The 15,821-nt window shown below is 37.7% G+C and overlaps 1 protein-coding gene across 22 annotated transcripts in view; it reads left to right on the plus strand.

Annotated features, from left to right (window-relative positions):
• Positions 1 to 10,072, plus strand: part of RELCH (RAB11 binding and LisH domain, coiled-coil and HEAT repeat containing) — a 122,995-nt gene extending 112,923 nt beyond the window's left edge. For all 22 annotated transcript variants that reach the window (NR_144408.2, NR_144403.2, NR_144409.2 and 19 more), the window contains one exon: positions 5,237 to 10,072. Coding sequence is in view for 13 of the 22 variants with exons in the window: in NM_001346235.2 (NP_001333164.1) it covers positions 5,237 to 5,357 (121 nt within the window). In the remaining 9 variants the exon portion in view is untranslated. The remainder of the gene's footprint in view (positions 1 to 5,236) is intronic.

The following is a 15,821-nucleotide window of genomic DNA, read 5'->3' on the forward strand; positions in this document are numbered from 1 at the left end:
TTGCATTTCTCTTCTGTCTTTTAACATGTTCTTCTCTATTTCTTGTATATTTGGTAGCTGGGTCTAGATCTAGAGACTTAATCAGATTCACGGCAAGCTTCTGTTCTCCTCAGGTTTTTACACATATGATTCCGTCTGCCAGGAGTATTCTTACTCTGCCTGGCTAGTTCCTACTCATCCTTCAGGACAGAGCTTAGATGTTGCCTCTTCAGGGAAGCCTTCCTTGACCCCACCCTTCCTCTGAAGTCTATTGTAGATCAAAAGCACAAGAGGAAAGTATTTTACTTGAAGCAGTGAAAGGAACTGCTTCTAAGATGGAAGGAAAAGCAAGAGTGGGTGCAGATAAAGATATCTGTATCTGTGAAGAGCTCTGCCTTTTGTTGTGGGGAATACAAAGATGTTGCATATATGGATTTCACCTTCAAAGAGCCTGTGGTTAAAAGCAGTATTTTTCAAACTGCAGATCATTGACGTTAGTACATTGTTTAATTAATTCAATTGGTTGTGACACGTATTTCATCCCGAGAAATAGAATCAAATGGAGAGTACATCCCAAGTGGTAAAGATGAGTCTTTCTTATGAAACATCAGTTACCTGTGTAAGTACTACAAGTCATCATGTAAAATGTGGCACTTACTATGGATCTGTGTCAGAAAAGTTTGAAAAGCACTGATCTGCAGGCAGAAAATGTATGCATAACTATTTTGGTACCCTTCTTATATTCATTCAGCAGTAAGTAAAATTCAGAGTGCTTACCATGGGCTGTTCACAAAGATGAGCTTGAGCAAGTCATAGTCTCTTCCCTCGGGGTATTCACAGCTGAAAGTGGGAAAAAGAAGCAGTTAAAAATAAAGATAAACACTAAAACAATGCCTGCAAATGGTTCCAAGGATAAAGGAATACAGGAGTCTTCAGATATGAATGGCTGACTAGGGAGGAAAAAAGGAAGAGCAAAAGAGGATTACATGCAGAAAAATCAGCACTGTGCAAAATGACAAAAGTTACAGAGGAGCGTGTTTGGGAACTGTAAGTAAAGCTAGAGTACAGAGTACATGTGGGAGAATGGTAGAGATAAGTATATAAAGGTAGGCAGGCACCAGACAATAAAGAATTCTGTGTGCCACACTGGGAGATTTGGACTTTATGTTATAGGCCAGGTGGTGGCAAACTTTTTTGTAGAGATAGTAAATATTATTTTAAACTTTGGAGACCATACAATCTCTGTCACAGCTACTGAGCTAGACTCTGCTATTGTAGCAGGAAAGCAGCCTTTGGCAATATGTAAATAAATGTGCATGGTTGTGTTTCAGTAAAACTTTATTTATAAAAACAGCAGGCTAGATTTGGCCTGCTACCTGTAGCCAATACTTAGGAACTTTGGTTGTCTAGCGTTAGTGTCCATCAGAATCACCTGGAAATTGCTGAGTACCATCCCCAGAGTTTTTGATTCAGAAGATTGGAGTGGAGTCTGAGAATTTGTATTGGTAACAAGTTCCCAGGTGGTGCTAATGCTGCAGGTCTAGGAACCACACCTTGAGAATCACTGCTTTAGGAACCAGACTCTAGTGAATAGAGAAGTGGGTGGAAGAGATGAGAAAGCTGTTACAGGAACCCATGATAAGATGAAGTGTGGTCTTGGATGGGAAAGTAACAATAAGTAATGCTTATGAACCAGATACCATTCTAAACATTTTTCATATATTTGCTAATAATTGTCATACTAAGCCTACAAAGTAGATACTTTTACTATTCTCATTTTACAGATGACAGAGAGGCAGGTAAGTTGCTCAGAGGCCACCTAGCTACTAAGTGGAGGAACCAGAACCCAGGCATTACGGTCCTTGAGACCGTGACTTGAACCACCATGTTATAATGCCAGTGTATGGCAGTGAATATGAGAAGATGGATTTGAGATCCGTATTTCAGATGTGAACTCAATTTAACTTGGCAGCTGATTAAGAGTGAAGGAGAACAGAATCAAAAGATTCCTACATTTCTGATCTGAACATTTAAACGGATGATGATAAAATACAACAAAATGGAACTATAGGAAGAACTATTCTGAAGAGGAATATTTAAAATGTGAGGCACAGGTAGAGAAACACTATAGGCAGTTCATTGAGATTTAAGAACCATTAGCAGCATATGGGTGGTAATTAAAGGCTTATGGTTGGAGCAGTGGTAGATAAATGATATCACTTGAAAAGGGGGCTCTGATGGGGAGAAGGTGACCAGGCATGGAATTAGACACCAACATTTCAGATGCATATGGAAGAACTTAACTGAGAAATAGAAGGCAAACCAGAATGGTGTTAGAAATCAAGTGGAGATTTTATTTTTGTTTTTGTTTTTGTTTTTTTCAAGATAGAGTCTCACTCTGTCTCCCAGGCTGGAGTGCAGTGGCACCATCTCGGCTCACTGCAACCTCCGCCTCCCAGGTTTAAGCAATTCTCCTGCCTTAGCCTCCCTCCCGAGTAGCTGGGATTACAGGCGTGCACCATCATGCCCAGCTAATTAATGTATTTTTACTAGAGAGGGGGTTTCACCATGTCGGCCAGGCTGGTCTCAAACTCCTGACCTCAAGTGATCTACCCGTCTTGACCTCCCAAAGTGCTGGGATTACAGCTGTGAGCCGCTGTGCCTGGCCCAAATGGAGATTTTAAAGAGAAGAAAAGAGATAAGTAATATAGGACATGAATAGTTTTAAAGAAGATAGGGATATTAGTTGCAAAGAAAAGATCTGAGATTTGCTTGAAAACTTCCAGTGAGGATACACATTACAAGGTAGCCCATTTCATTTTAATAACTCTTTTTAAAAAATTATCTTTTCCTGGATTAAAATCTCCCTTTCCAAAATGCCTAGGCCCTCTAAAACAAGTCTTTATCATCTGGTAGAGGGGTGGGAGAGTGTTACAAACCCCTTTATAAAACTGATAAAAATTTACACTGTGTCTTGGGGTGGGGGCGGAATTGCTGTAATGCAATGATTTTTTTTTTTTAACTGAAAAGCTTTGTAGTATAGACCTGGGCCTCCTACCTCAGATGGAAAGAATCAGAAGTACTGGATTAGGCCTAGGGATCTGCATTTTCAGAAGTTTTCCAGGTGACTATGATGTGTATCAGTAGACCTACGCAGATATATACACCCCTGCAGATATACATTATATATCCAGTTTTTCACATATGATGTATGCAGGTATTGGTTAAGTCACCTAAATCTTCTTCAAGCCAAATATTCTTCATTCCTTTCATTTTTACCTCTTATAGTTTCCAGACTCCTTAACATCATGGTTGGCCTCCTCTTAGAATATCATTAAAACTTGGTATCTCAACTATGGTCTGACCCATACATCCCCTTTTTCTAGATGTAAATTTAAATCATACTTATCTTTTGACTTACACTGAGTTTTCTAAAGAAAGGAAGAGCACTGAAAAGCTAGAATGTTAAGGAAAGGCACCATAGGACTTCAGCTGGGCTTTGAAAGATGGGTAGGCAGTGGATAGAAAGATTTGAGAGTGGTTGAACAATAGACTGGACAAACCTGACTGAAGGGGGTCAAAGAGACAGTCAGTGACAGTGGTATGGAAAAACAAGAAATAGATTGCTACATTTCCTGAATGCAAAGCACATTTCATCTTGTAGGTGGTATGTAAGCATTAAAGATTTTTGAGCTAAGATGTGATATCAAGAAGTGACTTTTAGAAGTTAATCTGGTAATTAAAGATGGAAGACTGTTGGAATCACTGAGTTGTGAAGTATTAGCCATGGAAGTAAAAAGAAACAGTAGAGGAGATGCTTCAAAGAATAAGGTCACAGGACTTGTGATTGGTTTGAAATAGAAGTAGAAGGAGCTATTAAATTCACTGTTAGAAAGAGAGGAAAATAGTAGAACCACTGGCAAAAAGAGGGGGGAGTTAAAATGGAGAGTTATTTCTAAAGTTAGGGCGTGAACAGAAGCTTGAGATGTTGGCTTTATCTAGCAAATAATAGTAATGTGGGACTGACCCTCAGGAAAAGGGATGCGATTCAATTTGAAACTTGGAGAGTAAGTTTTATAATTGAAGAATCAAGAGCCAAATACTGAACCTTAGGGAAGATTACTTTGTGGGAAGAGAAGCAGCAGGAAAGAGAACCCACTGTTGTACTGTCAGAAGAGCAATGTGGAGAAGCTTTTCAAGGTGGGAGTTCTGGTTTGGTTTTTAACTTGAGTAATTCACAGTGCACACCCTTATAGACTACATAGACCCAGGTGTGCTCCGTGGCAGCACACACCTCATGCAGTAGATTCAACAGACATGTTGAGCACCTGCAGCTTGCCACACGTTGTCTTTGACATGTTCAAACACATTATCTTACTTAATCCTCAGAATATTTTACAACAGAAATTGCAAGCTGTGTTTTACAGATGAGGAAACTGAGTCAGAGAGAGCTAAAGCATGTTGGCCAAAGGCACAAGGCAATAAACTAGATTCCAAGTCTATTACAGGACAGTTGTCAGGTCATTGAAAAATTGTGCTTGATCAGTATTCTGTTTCTGTTCAGTACTATGATAAATTAGCAATCTTTAGAGGTCATTTAGATTGTGTTTATTCCCTACAGAGCAGGTTGGTGAAAAAGAAAGAAGAAATGGACTCGAAACTGTTGATTGAAATCAATGCAACTGGCAATTCAGGACATCCCCCAAAAAAGGAATATCCCCCTAAAAAGGAATATACCATAGGATTATTATCAGCACAGCACAAAACTTCATTGCAATTTAATTTACTCATTTGTGAAAATACTGATAATATTTATCTTCCAGGATTGCTGTAAGAATTAAATGAAGTGATAAAGAATAACTACTAACAATTACATCATGCTATTATGTGCCTAGCACTATACTGAGCACTTTACAGTTGTGTTAATATAATCCTAATAACCCTAGGAGGCAAATACTAGAATCATCCTCGTTTTACAGATGAGATTAAATAATTTACCCGAGCTGGTAAACAGAGCCAAGATTCAGTCCAGTCCCAGACTTGTTCCTAACCACTACACATACTGCTTCCTTTACTATAGATAATGAACATGAAAGCTCCTAACCTAGTATGGCATATACAAACTACCCTCCATAAATATTAGTTTCCCTTTTGTGACGCCAATTCAGAGTGTGTTCGTTAATGATATGCTACTAAATAAATGAAAAATTTTTATTTTTTTAATTGCTTTACATGAATTTTAAATTTTCTTTCCTAGCTCAATGTCAATTGCTGCAAGCTTAGTGAGTGAAGATACAAAGACCAAGTTTTTGAACAAAATGGGCCAGTTGACAACATCAGGTGCCATGTTGGCCAATGTATTTCAGAGAAAGAAGTAGAAGCAGGAAAGAAGCCCCCAGTAAACACTAAGATGGACCTCAAGCCGACTGGTTCCTTGTACTTGAAGTACTTGCCTTTTTTGTTTCCTCAGTTTTATGTTCTTGCATTATAATTTTATCCTAACCTCCAAAGATATTTGCACTGCTTTTAATTACTGCTGTATATTTGTTGATTTTGGAGTTACAACTGTGGTGATAGAAAATTGAGTTGATGGTCTGTACCAAGTCCCTTGTCTATGTTCTTGTCTTTCAGAATAATTTTTATATAAATATATATATAGTGAAGAAGTTTTTTTTAATTTTTGGATGGGATATTCGCAAATATCTGTATTATACACTAAGCTATTACAATGGTACTTAAAATAATGTAAATTTGAAGTCATTGTTATAAAATAATAAAGTGGAGATTACTTAAGTATTTAAATTATGAAAGAATAATGCAGACTTTTTATTGTTTCTTAACTGACTAGAAAGAGCCACCAGCATTACTCTGTGCCTTTTGGACATCAGTTTGTGTGTTCTGTAGGAATTGTGTGCATTCCATTCACACAGTATTTCTTTAGGATGCTGTGATGATTTGAATTACAAATCCTACAGTCAATAGCTAAAGACGAAACCTTCATTTCAGAACTCTCATGAATATTCTTTAAGTGCTATTTAAACCTCCCCAGCACTTAGATGCATATAATGGACTTACCTGAGGAAAGACAGCACATAGGCATGGGGAGAGGTAACCAAGGTGAATTTTACAAACTGGTGTATAGTAGATTTAAATGCTCAAAAATAAATGTAACTGAGAAGAGTTAATAATTGTGAGATTTTTCCCAAATTGAGATACAGAAGAAAATATAGTTTGAATCTGAAATTTAACACTTATTTATGTAAAACACTTTATTTAAGATATTTTCTAATGATTTTAATTTTAGAGAGTACCTTTTCATTCTGTGTGTTACAGAGAAGTACTGAAAAGTTAAGGACACTTGGGGGCTACTTTTTTCCCTCTAAACTAAAAAAGACATTGGCTGAATTATAACTAGTTAGTTATCACCTCGTCCCTTAAAGTCAGTGACCTCCTGTGTTTGATGTATATTACATAGAGTCTTAAGTCAGTGTACAGTTCCACTGGAATTTGACAGTTGTCTCTACAGTCATGCAACTCGAAGTAGAAAAGAGTGCTGGACATAGGAAGGGGGTGCTTGGTTTGAGGGGTTAATGTGAGGCCTTTTTGAAAAATGAATATTTTGATAAAAAGAATTCTTGTTTTAGCACAGTTGATGCACATAAGTGATTCTCATATTTGTTGTATAAACTGGTTTAATACATTTGGAACATAGTTGGATTACATTCATTTCCTGGGAAAGCTAGCTTACCATACATTCAAGTTTATAAAACAATTTGCCATAGGCAAAGCCATTTAAAAAGTTCATTCTGAAATTATTTCATTTACCTACAGTGAAATAATTGTGAACTAAGTAGTCTTTCTGAAAACTGTTGGGTTCTAGGCATTCCTGAGAAATTGAAAGTGGCTACCTTTCATGTCAAAAATGTTGATCTATTATAAATAAAATGTTTTTGCATATGTTTTTGATTTGGTTTGGGCTATGCATTTTACTTTCGTTTTGAAACACTATACTTTCTATTAAGCAAAAAAATGAGAAAAGCCTATATTCATGAGAATATACTAATATTTTGTAAATATAATTTATATAAATTTACCTATTTTGGTTTATTTTTACTAAAAGGGGACCATGTTGCTATAAAACTAATACATTTCAGAGGTACCTGGAAGAAAAATGTTTAAACTCTGATTTGCTTCAAACTATAGTAGAATATGTGTATGTTTGTTATCAGGTGAATGGGTAGAATGTATTTTTATTGTGAACATTTTTCTTAATTAATGAATATATTTATTTAAGTGCTAATGTTTTTTTAAAGGCAATAGTAGGCAAGATTCACAGTGTATTTCAAGTGAGAGTCTCTTTTCTTAAATATTTTAATATCATTAAGATTTCACATTGTGGTTTTGTTTTTTGTTTGTTTGTTTGTTTTTAGTAAAATATGTCTTGTCTTTACAGACAAGACAGACACTAATCATTGAGACTGAGATTTGGACTGAGTCCAAAATAGGGCATAAAACTCCCATACTCATTCCTTTTAAACAGAAGTAAACTTACGGTACAAGTTTTTAAGTGTTCAACTTAATGAAAAACTAAGTTTGCAAAGTAATGAAAAGCTAATTTGAAATTATACCTGTGTTTCCAGAGTAATCCAGAGATTAAATTTTTTCAGAAATCCAGAAGTGCCATAATTACTAATTTAGCTGAATTCTTCCAAGAACAGTGCTTGAATGATGGCAGTATCTATCTCTATACATAGGTGTCTATGACCTTCATTGGTTTGCATTATTCACCCCTTTAGAGAGATTATTTTGCTAAACATCAAATTGATTTTCAACCTGAACGAAATTGTGAGTAATTTAAGTCATGCCATCCTCATTATCCATAGCTTTTAGGATATGTCACTACTATAGGATATGTCACTACTATACACTATAATTCTAATGGGGGTCTCAAGTCAAGGTGCTATCACATTCTTGTTTTTAAAAAGTTGGCTCAAATAGTCTCTCTTAAAATTTAGAGAGGTGAGATCAGGATGTATTGAATTGTCTTTTCATCATCCCATTTTTCAAGACAACCTATTTTGGACCATTATTTGAACTCCAAGGATGTAACTTTCTGTAGTTACTACCCTGCTGATCTTTGAACTGCAGTAGCTAACTACAGCTAACATTCTGTGCTGGTTATATTTTCTTAACTATTCTTTGTGTAAAGATTGTACTAATTTTTTCAGTTCATTAAAGAAAGTTACACTTTAGCTCTTCAATGTTACACTTAAAGAGCTTTGGACTGTGCGCTGTGGCTCACGCCTGTAATCTCAGCACTTTGGGAGGCCAAGGTGACGAATCACTTGAGGTCAGTAGTTCAAGACCAGCCTGGCCAACGTGGTGAAACCCCGCCTCTAAAAATACAAAAATTAGCCAGGCGTGGTGACGTGGGCCTGTAATCCCTGCTACTCGGGAGGCTGAGACAGGAGAATCGTTTGAACCTGGGAAGCGGAGATTGCAGTGGGCCGCTATTGCACCACTGCACTCCAGCCTGGTCCACAGAGCAAGACTCCATCTCAAAAACAAAAAAAAAAGCTTTGTAAGTAGCAATTCTAATTCATAATTCATGAAATACTCCAGATTAGCCAGGTAACAAAATTCAACCTTCAAGGTTGGATGTTAATTCTCTTACAAGAAAACTACAAAATAAATTTAGCCTTTTGTATGAGTAGACATCTATTTCAAAGTTCTACTGTAACTTTACAGTGTGCTTAGTTTTGATACTATTTTTTTCAGTACATTAAAAAGAAATAGAGACTGGCCGGGCACGGTGGCTCATGCCTGTAATACCAGCACTTTGGGAGGCTGAGGCGGGAAGATCACTTGAGGCCGGGAGTTCAAGACTAGCCTGACCAACATGGTGAAACCGTCTCTACTAAAAATACAAAATTAGCCGGGTATGGTGGCGCACACCTGTAATCCCAGCTACTCTGGAGTCTGAGGCAGGAGAATCACTTGAACCCAGGGAGTGGAGGTTGCAGTGAGCCAAGATCGTGCCACTGCACTCTAGCCTGGGCGAGAGTGAGACTACATCTCAAAAAAAAAAAATAATAATAGAGACAAACTACTAATCAAAAATAATGTATCAGGTAAGTTTCTGCATATTGGTAAAAAAATTGAATTTTAGACAATTTTCATACTGCGTAAGAATGTGTTCTGTATGCATTTTGTGTGTGAGCCTACACTGTGATCACAGTCTCCAAGTGGCACATCTCATCATTCATATTTTCTCTTCAGAACCAAGTACAGGAAACTGTTTTGATTGTCTTTTTTGTGGTTTACTTTGCATGTTTAAGAAAAATCTTAAAACATCCTATTCTCTGTTAAGACCACACCAATCATAAAGTACATAACAGTTAATATAAACTTAATATTGCATCAAAAACAAATATATTTTATTTTGATAGTATATAAATAATATCTTCAGTTCAGTGTTATGAGGAATGTAAACTGTTTGCTTTTCTCCAGAGAGGCGTCAATAAATCTGGGAAATTCTGTCCCCCGCATATCTACATGGAGAACTATATTACTATTTTAATTCCTTTTATTCCATTACAGACTAATCCACCATATTTATTTCAGTTAGATCATTGCATGAATAGATTTCTGGAGGGACTTTAATGTAGTAAAATATATGTAGTTTATAAACTGGTATTTTGTGTTGTGTGTTATGTATATTAAATTCTTGGTCAGTGATCTTTTTAGGGTGTCATTTGTTGATAGTAATCTGCTTTTTATAATTTTAACAAACTGCTTCCCTCCTGGAAAAGTAACCCTTTCTTAATTGTTGGCATTTTAAACCTTAGATATTTTCAGGACATGCATCTTCAATGAAGCTGGAAATGTTACAGATAATCTCTCTATAAAATGTACATTGCTGAGTAATATAAATATAATAATTTCTCATTGACTTTATGATTTCATAGATGCTTTATCTTCATTTCTGATCATTACTTGACAGTTCTTTAAATTCTTAGCTTTCTCTGTTCATAAGCCTTCCCATCATGTATTAAATAATGAAACTTAAAGGTGAATACTTTCATAATGTAAATTGTTTTCTAATTTATTTTTCATATGGATTTTCTAAATATGGTCACCTTTCTGTCAAATTCTTTTCTTACCCCCAAAGAGCATGAAAATGTGTTCTCTATTCCTCACAGGACTTTATTTATGGAAATTACATAGTAATAAACCTGAAAGTGCTTTAGCACTTAGGGAGTAGGAAATAAAAGTAAAATCCTAAGCCCCCCAGCCAACTGAACAGACCTCCTCTTGGCCAAGGGGACCCCAGAGAAACCTTCAAAACTAAGGTACCAGCATGACAGGATGGGAGGTCAGACACACCTCAGTATGCCTCTTCCTTAACCTTTAACCAGAATTCTTTCCTAAGGAGGACGCAGAAACTAGCTCTGGAAAACAAGAAACCAACAACTTATTCCTTTATTGCCTTTAGCGAATAGTCTGAGTCTGCTACTGGATGCCCCCTCCCTCTTTGCAGCCACCTCTTTGCAGTTTCAGTGCGACTGCTCACCAATTTCACAATGCATACCTTCCTTGAACCTGACCACCATCTCCAGACAAGTTTTGGCCCACTTGAGGAGGATGTGCAATGAGGGGTTTTGTGTCCTCTGCTTCACCTTTTGATGTCAGAGGGCCAAAAATGCCACCCTTGGCTCATGTTAATGTAGCCATTTTTTTAACATGCTGTCCATGAAGAGGCATGAAGCTTATATGTGCATGTTTCTCCTTTCATTAATATTCGTGACTTCTCCTACAGCTTGTTGAAGTTGTATATGGCCACGCCAGTCAATATCAATTCCTGTTCCCTTTACCCCTCCCTCAAAGTGCTTGCTCCTGGCTTCTGCCAGAGGCTACGCTTCCCAACCTGCAGGATGGCCAGCCTGAAGGCTGCAACCCTTTATGAGAAAGGAAGCTCTTGTTTCCAAGTTTATGAACCTCATGATTCTTCACTTGACAAAAGTATTATGAAAAGTTCAGGGTGGAGTTAAAATTTTTAAATCACTGAATAACTAAAGCATGAATAAACATGGATAACCCTCTTCTCCATATTTTTGTTAGATCTCATGTTCCAGTAAGTAAATAGGTTATCACGCCAGGCATAATTGATAAAAATTGCAGTAGCAGGCAGAAACCACTTTGATAGTTACTTTTGCCTACTTTAACCTCTCTTTTAGAGTTTCTAACCTAGTAAAGATTAGCAAGGTTTTTTTTTATTTACCAAAACTTGTGATAAAAATGAGTAGTCAACGTAAAATTTTCCATTACATAATTTATTTAGGTTTCTGAAAAATATTTTACCCTTTATAACTTCACTCATGTCTGTTCGTATATATTTGATTCTAAGAGTAACTGGCTTCCTTTGATATGTAGTTTGAGTGTGTTGGCTCCTTCCTTTAATCTTGCAACCAAACTTTTCATACTAGTAAGGAAAATCAGAATTGACATTTCTTGAAAATAATTGGCTCCTAGTGTTATCTTTAAAAAGAACCTCTTCAGTTAACCATTGACCAATAATGAAAAAAGTTAGAATCTAGGTTTCTTGCTAAAGCTATAAATGTGTTCAGATCTTAGGGGATAAATGCTACATATCAAATGTGGAGACCATTTTGTTTTCTTTGCCATACTACTCAAACCCTTATGGCATTGTAATGTAATTATTATCCTCAAGAAATCATGGAGAGGCGACAGAAGACTAGAGCTGGGCAAATGTGATTTTCAAAAATGAGAAGCCAATAGATTTTACAAAATATGGATTACCATTTGATTTTCAATCTGAATAGGCTCTTCAGGTGGGCCTTTTCTGACCACCCAATCTAAAGTAACCCCCTGTAATTCCCTCATATCACCTTGGATTTTCTTGTTTATGATTACTTCTACCAGTACTCATTTTCTTGTTTTGTTTTGGTCTCTTTTTCTCACTAGTCTCATCTCCGTAAGAGGAAATGATGTCTATTCATTTCAACCAGTGTCTTTTCAGTAAAGAATGCCTTTTATATGCTAGGTACTCAACAAACATTGAATTAATGAATTATTGAGCTTGATGCCAATTCCATGCAAGATTGTCGACTAGATTAAAAGGATGGTTTGTGAGCATAATTAGACATCCCTGAAAGTCCCCCAAACTCATACTTGAGTTTGCTAAGACCACGTGTCAAACTAATCCAATGTTCTTTCGATAGAGCTATTATATATCGGTCAGGAGGCTGGTGTAGTATTGTGCATCTTGACCTCAGCAAGTATTTGACTGTTTCTCATAATGTCCTTGTTTATATCTGAGGTAGAAAATGTGGGCTAAATAAGAGCACAGATAAAGAGTGTCCCATCTATGTGTGGCCTAAAAAGCTAGGCTGAGCTTATATTCATATCTGGCTCTCTGGCAGCACCCCTGATCAACAAGCCTCACCAAGTTTACCAAGGGATTTGTAAATGCAGAGAAGCCATTTTTTTTTCTAAAGATGGTCAAGTAATTCATCATTCACCATATATTTATGGAGTACCTATTTTATGCTAGGCATAGGGATAGAGGGAATAAGACCAACACAGCCTACTTACAGAGCTTGCAAGCAGGCAAGGAAACAAATAGGTTGAGAGAGAAGGACTAAGGAGGATTTACTCTAATTAAGGTGATTATGGTTTACTTTGGAAGGCTTTGCTGAGGTGACATTTTATTTGATAACTAGGAAGAATAGGCTTTAACCATGTGAAATTAAGAAGAGGGGGAAAAAGGCAGTGTGTGCATAGATCACAAGGTGAAAAATTGTGCTGTGTTCAAGGAACTGAAAAAAAAATGTGGCTAGAGTGAGACAGTATCAGAACATGAGATTGGAGAGAGGCATGTAGCTGGATCATATAGCACCTTGTACACTATGGTTAGAAGTTAGAAAGGGAAGTCTTTGAATAGTTCAAGTAGTGAAATGATTGATCCAATTCATATCATGGCTAGATATACTTCTGCTATATAAGAATATGTTGCAGAAGGTCAAGAGTAGAGGCTGAAGGCAGAAGCGAATACAGTAGTCCAGGCAAGAGATGATGGCTTACACGAAAGTGGAAGGAATAGGGCAGATTTGAGATACACTGTAGAAGTAGATGGGCATGATAGATTGGATATGAAGAGTGAAGGGAAAGGAAAAACCAAGGACGTCACCTAGATTTTTGGCATGAATAACAATAGGTGATGACAATAGTTACAAAGTGAAGTAAAGAACAATTTTGTCTTAGATGTATTAACTTTAAGATGTCTGGGAGTTGCCTGTGGAAATGTCAAGTAAGAAGTTAGCCACATCCAGATCTCAAGACAGACAGGACTGAAGATTATGGAGTCATCAGTATTTTGATAAACCCGTGGAACTAGGTGAGATGGCCTGGGGAGAAAGTAACAGTGGAGAAGAGGATTCAAATCAACTCTGAGACACTCACATACTTGGAGATTAAGCAGAGCAAGGGGAACTACTGAAGGAGTTGGAAGGAGTAAACAATCAGGTAGGAGGGAAACCAGGAGAGAGTGGCATCATGGAAGCAAAGATGGGAGCATTACACCAAAGGGGCCAATTAGCTGTATCAGTTGCCACTATCAGTCAAGATGGGAAGGATCTGAGACCCATTGGAAGATGAAAGCCACTGATGACTTCAGTACTAGTTTCAGTGGATTGGTGGAAATAGCCTGATTGGAATGACTTAAGGAAAAAGAGTAGAGATAACAGCTCTTTCAAGAAATTTTGCCTTGGGCCGGGCATAGTGGCTTACACCTAAAATCCCACCACTTTGGGAGGCCAAGGTGGGAGGATCACCTGAGGTCAGGAGTTTGAGACCAGCCTGTCTCAGGGTGAAACCCTGTCTCTACTAAATATACAAAAATTAGCCAGGCTCCACGGAGGGTGCCTGTAGTCCAAGCTACTTGGGAGGCTGAGGCATGAGAATCGCTTGAACCCGGGAGGCAGAGGTTGCAGTGAGCCAAGATCACACCACTGCTCTCCAGCCTTGGCAACAGAGCAAGACCCCATCTCAAAAAAAAAATTTTTTTTTGCCTTGAAGAGGAGCAGAAGTACTGGTAGCTGGAAGGGTCAAGAGAGAGTTTGCTTAGTTTTGTTCTATAATGGGAGCAATTAAATCATATTCGTGCACTGATGAGAATAAGCTGGTAAAGTGGGAGGGAGTGGTGATGGCGGCAGCAGCAATTGTCAATAACAGAGGAATCCTTGAGAAGGCAAGGTGGGTGAGATTCGGAGCACAAATGGAGGACTGGCTTCCACTGTAATGAGAGAAAGCAGAGAATAGATAGACTTGCAGGTAATTGGTAGATTTAGTGGTGGGAAGATTAGGGGGTTTCCATCTGATTCCTTCCATTTTCTCAGTGACGTATGAAGCAAAGACATTAGCGTGGCTGTATATGGGAAGTATTGGAGATTTGAAAAGAAGGAAGGTAGTAATGGTTGTCTTCAAGAATGGCCGAGTAGATTATGGAAGGAACTATAGGATCGCCGAGGAATTTTGAGAGCCCATTTGAAAATAGTAATTACGAATTTAATGAGAAGCCAGTTAGCACAATTGTTTTTACTTTTCTTGAGCTAGGAGCAGCCATTCTGGAGCAGATGCAGAGAATAAAGTATAATCAGGGCTTGGGTTTTCCAGGTGTGTAAGATGAAAAGCAAGGACACAGGCATTAAAGGTGTTTGCAAAGGAAAGATTATAGTGATTGGCCATAGAATCTAAACCGGTATGGGGAAAATGAGATATTGGGGTAAATGTTGAGGGAAAAATTATCTGATGAGTGGGTCTCAATAAAGCCAAAAAATATGTTCTAGTGAGAATATGCCAGTAAAGTGAACTGGAAGGATGAAAAGCAAATAAAGCTATTTTACCTATAGTCCCTAAGATAAAGACGTTTTTGAGAACCCTTTTTTCTTCCATACTTTCTTTTTTTTGAGACGGAGTTTCACTCTTGTTGCCCAGGCTGGAGTGCAATGGTGCAATCTCCGCTCACTGCAACCTCCGCCTCCTGGGTTCAAGCAATTCTTCTGCCACAGCCTCCCAAGTAGCTGAGATTACAGACATGCGCCACCATACCCTGCTAATTTTTTGTATTTAGTAGAGATGGGGTTTCACCATGTTGGCCAGGCTGGTCTCGAACTCCTGACCTCAGGTGATCCTCCCACCTCGGCCTCCCAAAGTGCTGAGATTACAGACGTGAGCCATCACACCTGGCCTTTTCTTCCATATTTTCTACTTCTCTCATTTGTTCTACTTTCTGGAATACTTCCTGGGCTTTATTTTTCAACTTTTGTGTTGTTTTCTTTTTTTTTCTTTTGGCATTTATGTTTATTCTAAGAGCTCTAGTGTGTTCTCTGATACTTTTTCTTAGCATTCTGTTTTTGTTTCAAGGATGCAAAAACTGCTTTAATCTCCTTAAGGATACTAATTAAGATTATTTTTTATTTTCTAGCTTATTACTTATCTCTGTTTCCTTCAGTGTTATTGTTCTATTTATTCATCATTTTCTCTTTTGTAATGGACATTTCCTCAAACATCTGGTCACCTTTGGTTATTCATTCATATTTAAAGGTGAAATAAGGCTGAGCACGGTAGCTTATGCCTGTAATCCTAACACTTTGGGAGGCCAAGACTGGCAGATTACTTGAGCTCAGGAGTTTAAGACCAGCCTGGGCAAAATGACAAAGCCCCATCTCTACAAAAAATACAAAAATTAGCCAGGCATGGTGGCACGTGCCTGTAGTCCCAGGTAGTCAGGAAACTGAAGCAGGAGGATTGCTTGAGCCCCA

This window comes from Homo sapiens, chromosome 18 (assembly GCF_000001405.40).
Source record: "Homo sapiens chromosome 18, GRCh38.p14 Primary Assembly".
Taxonomy (NCBI): domain Eukaryota; kingdom Metazoa; phylum Chordata; class Mammalia; order Primates; family Hominidae; genus Homo; species Homo sapiens.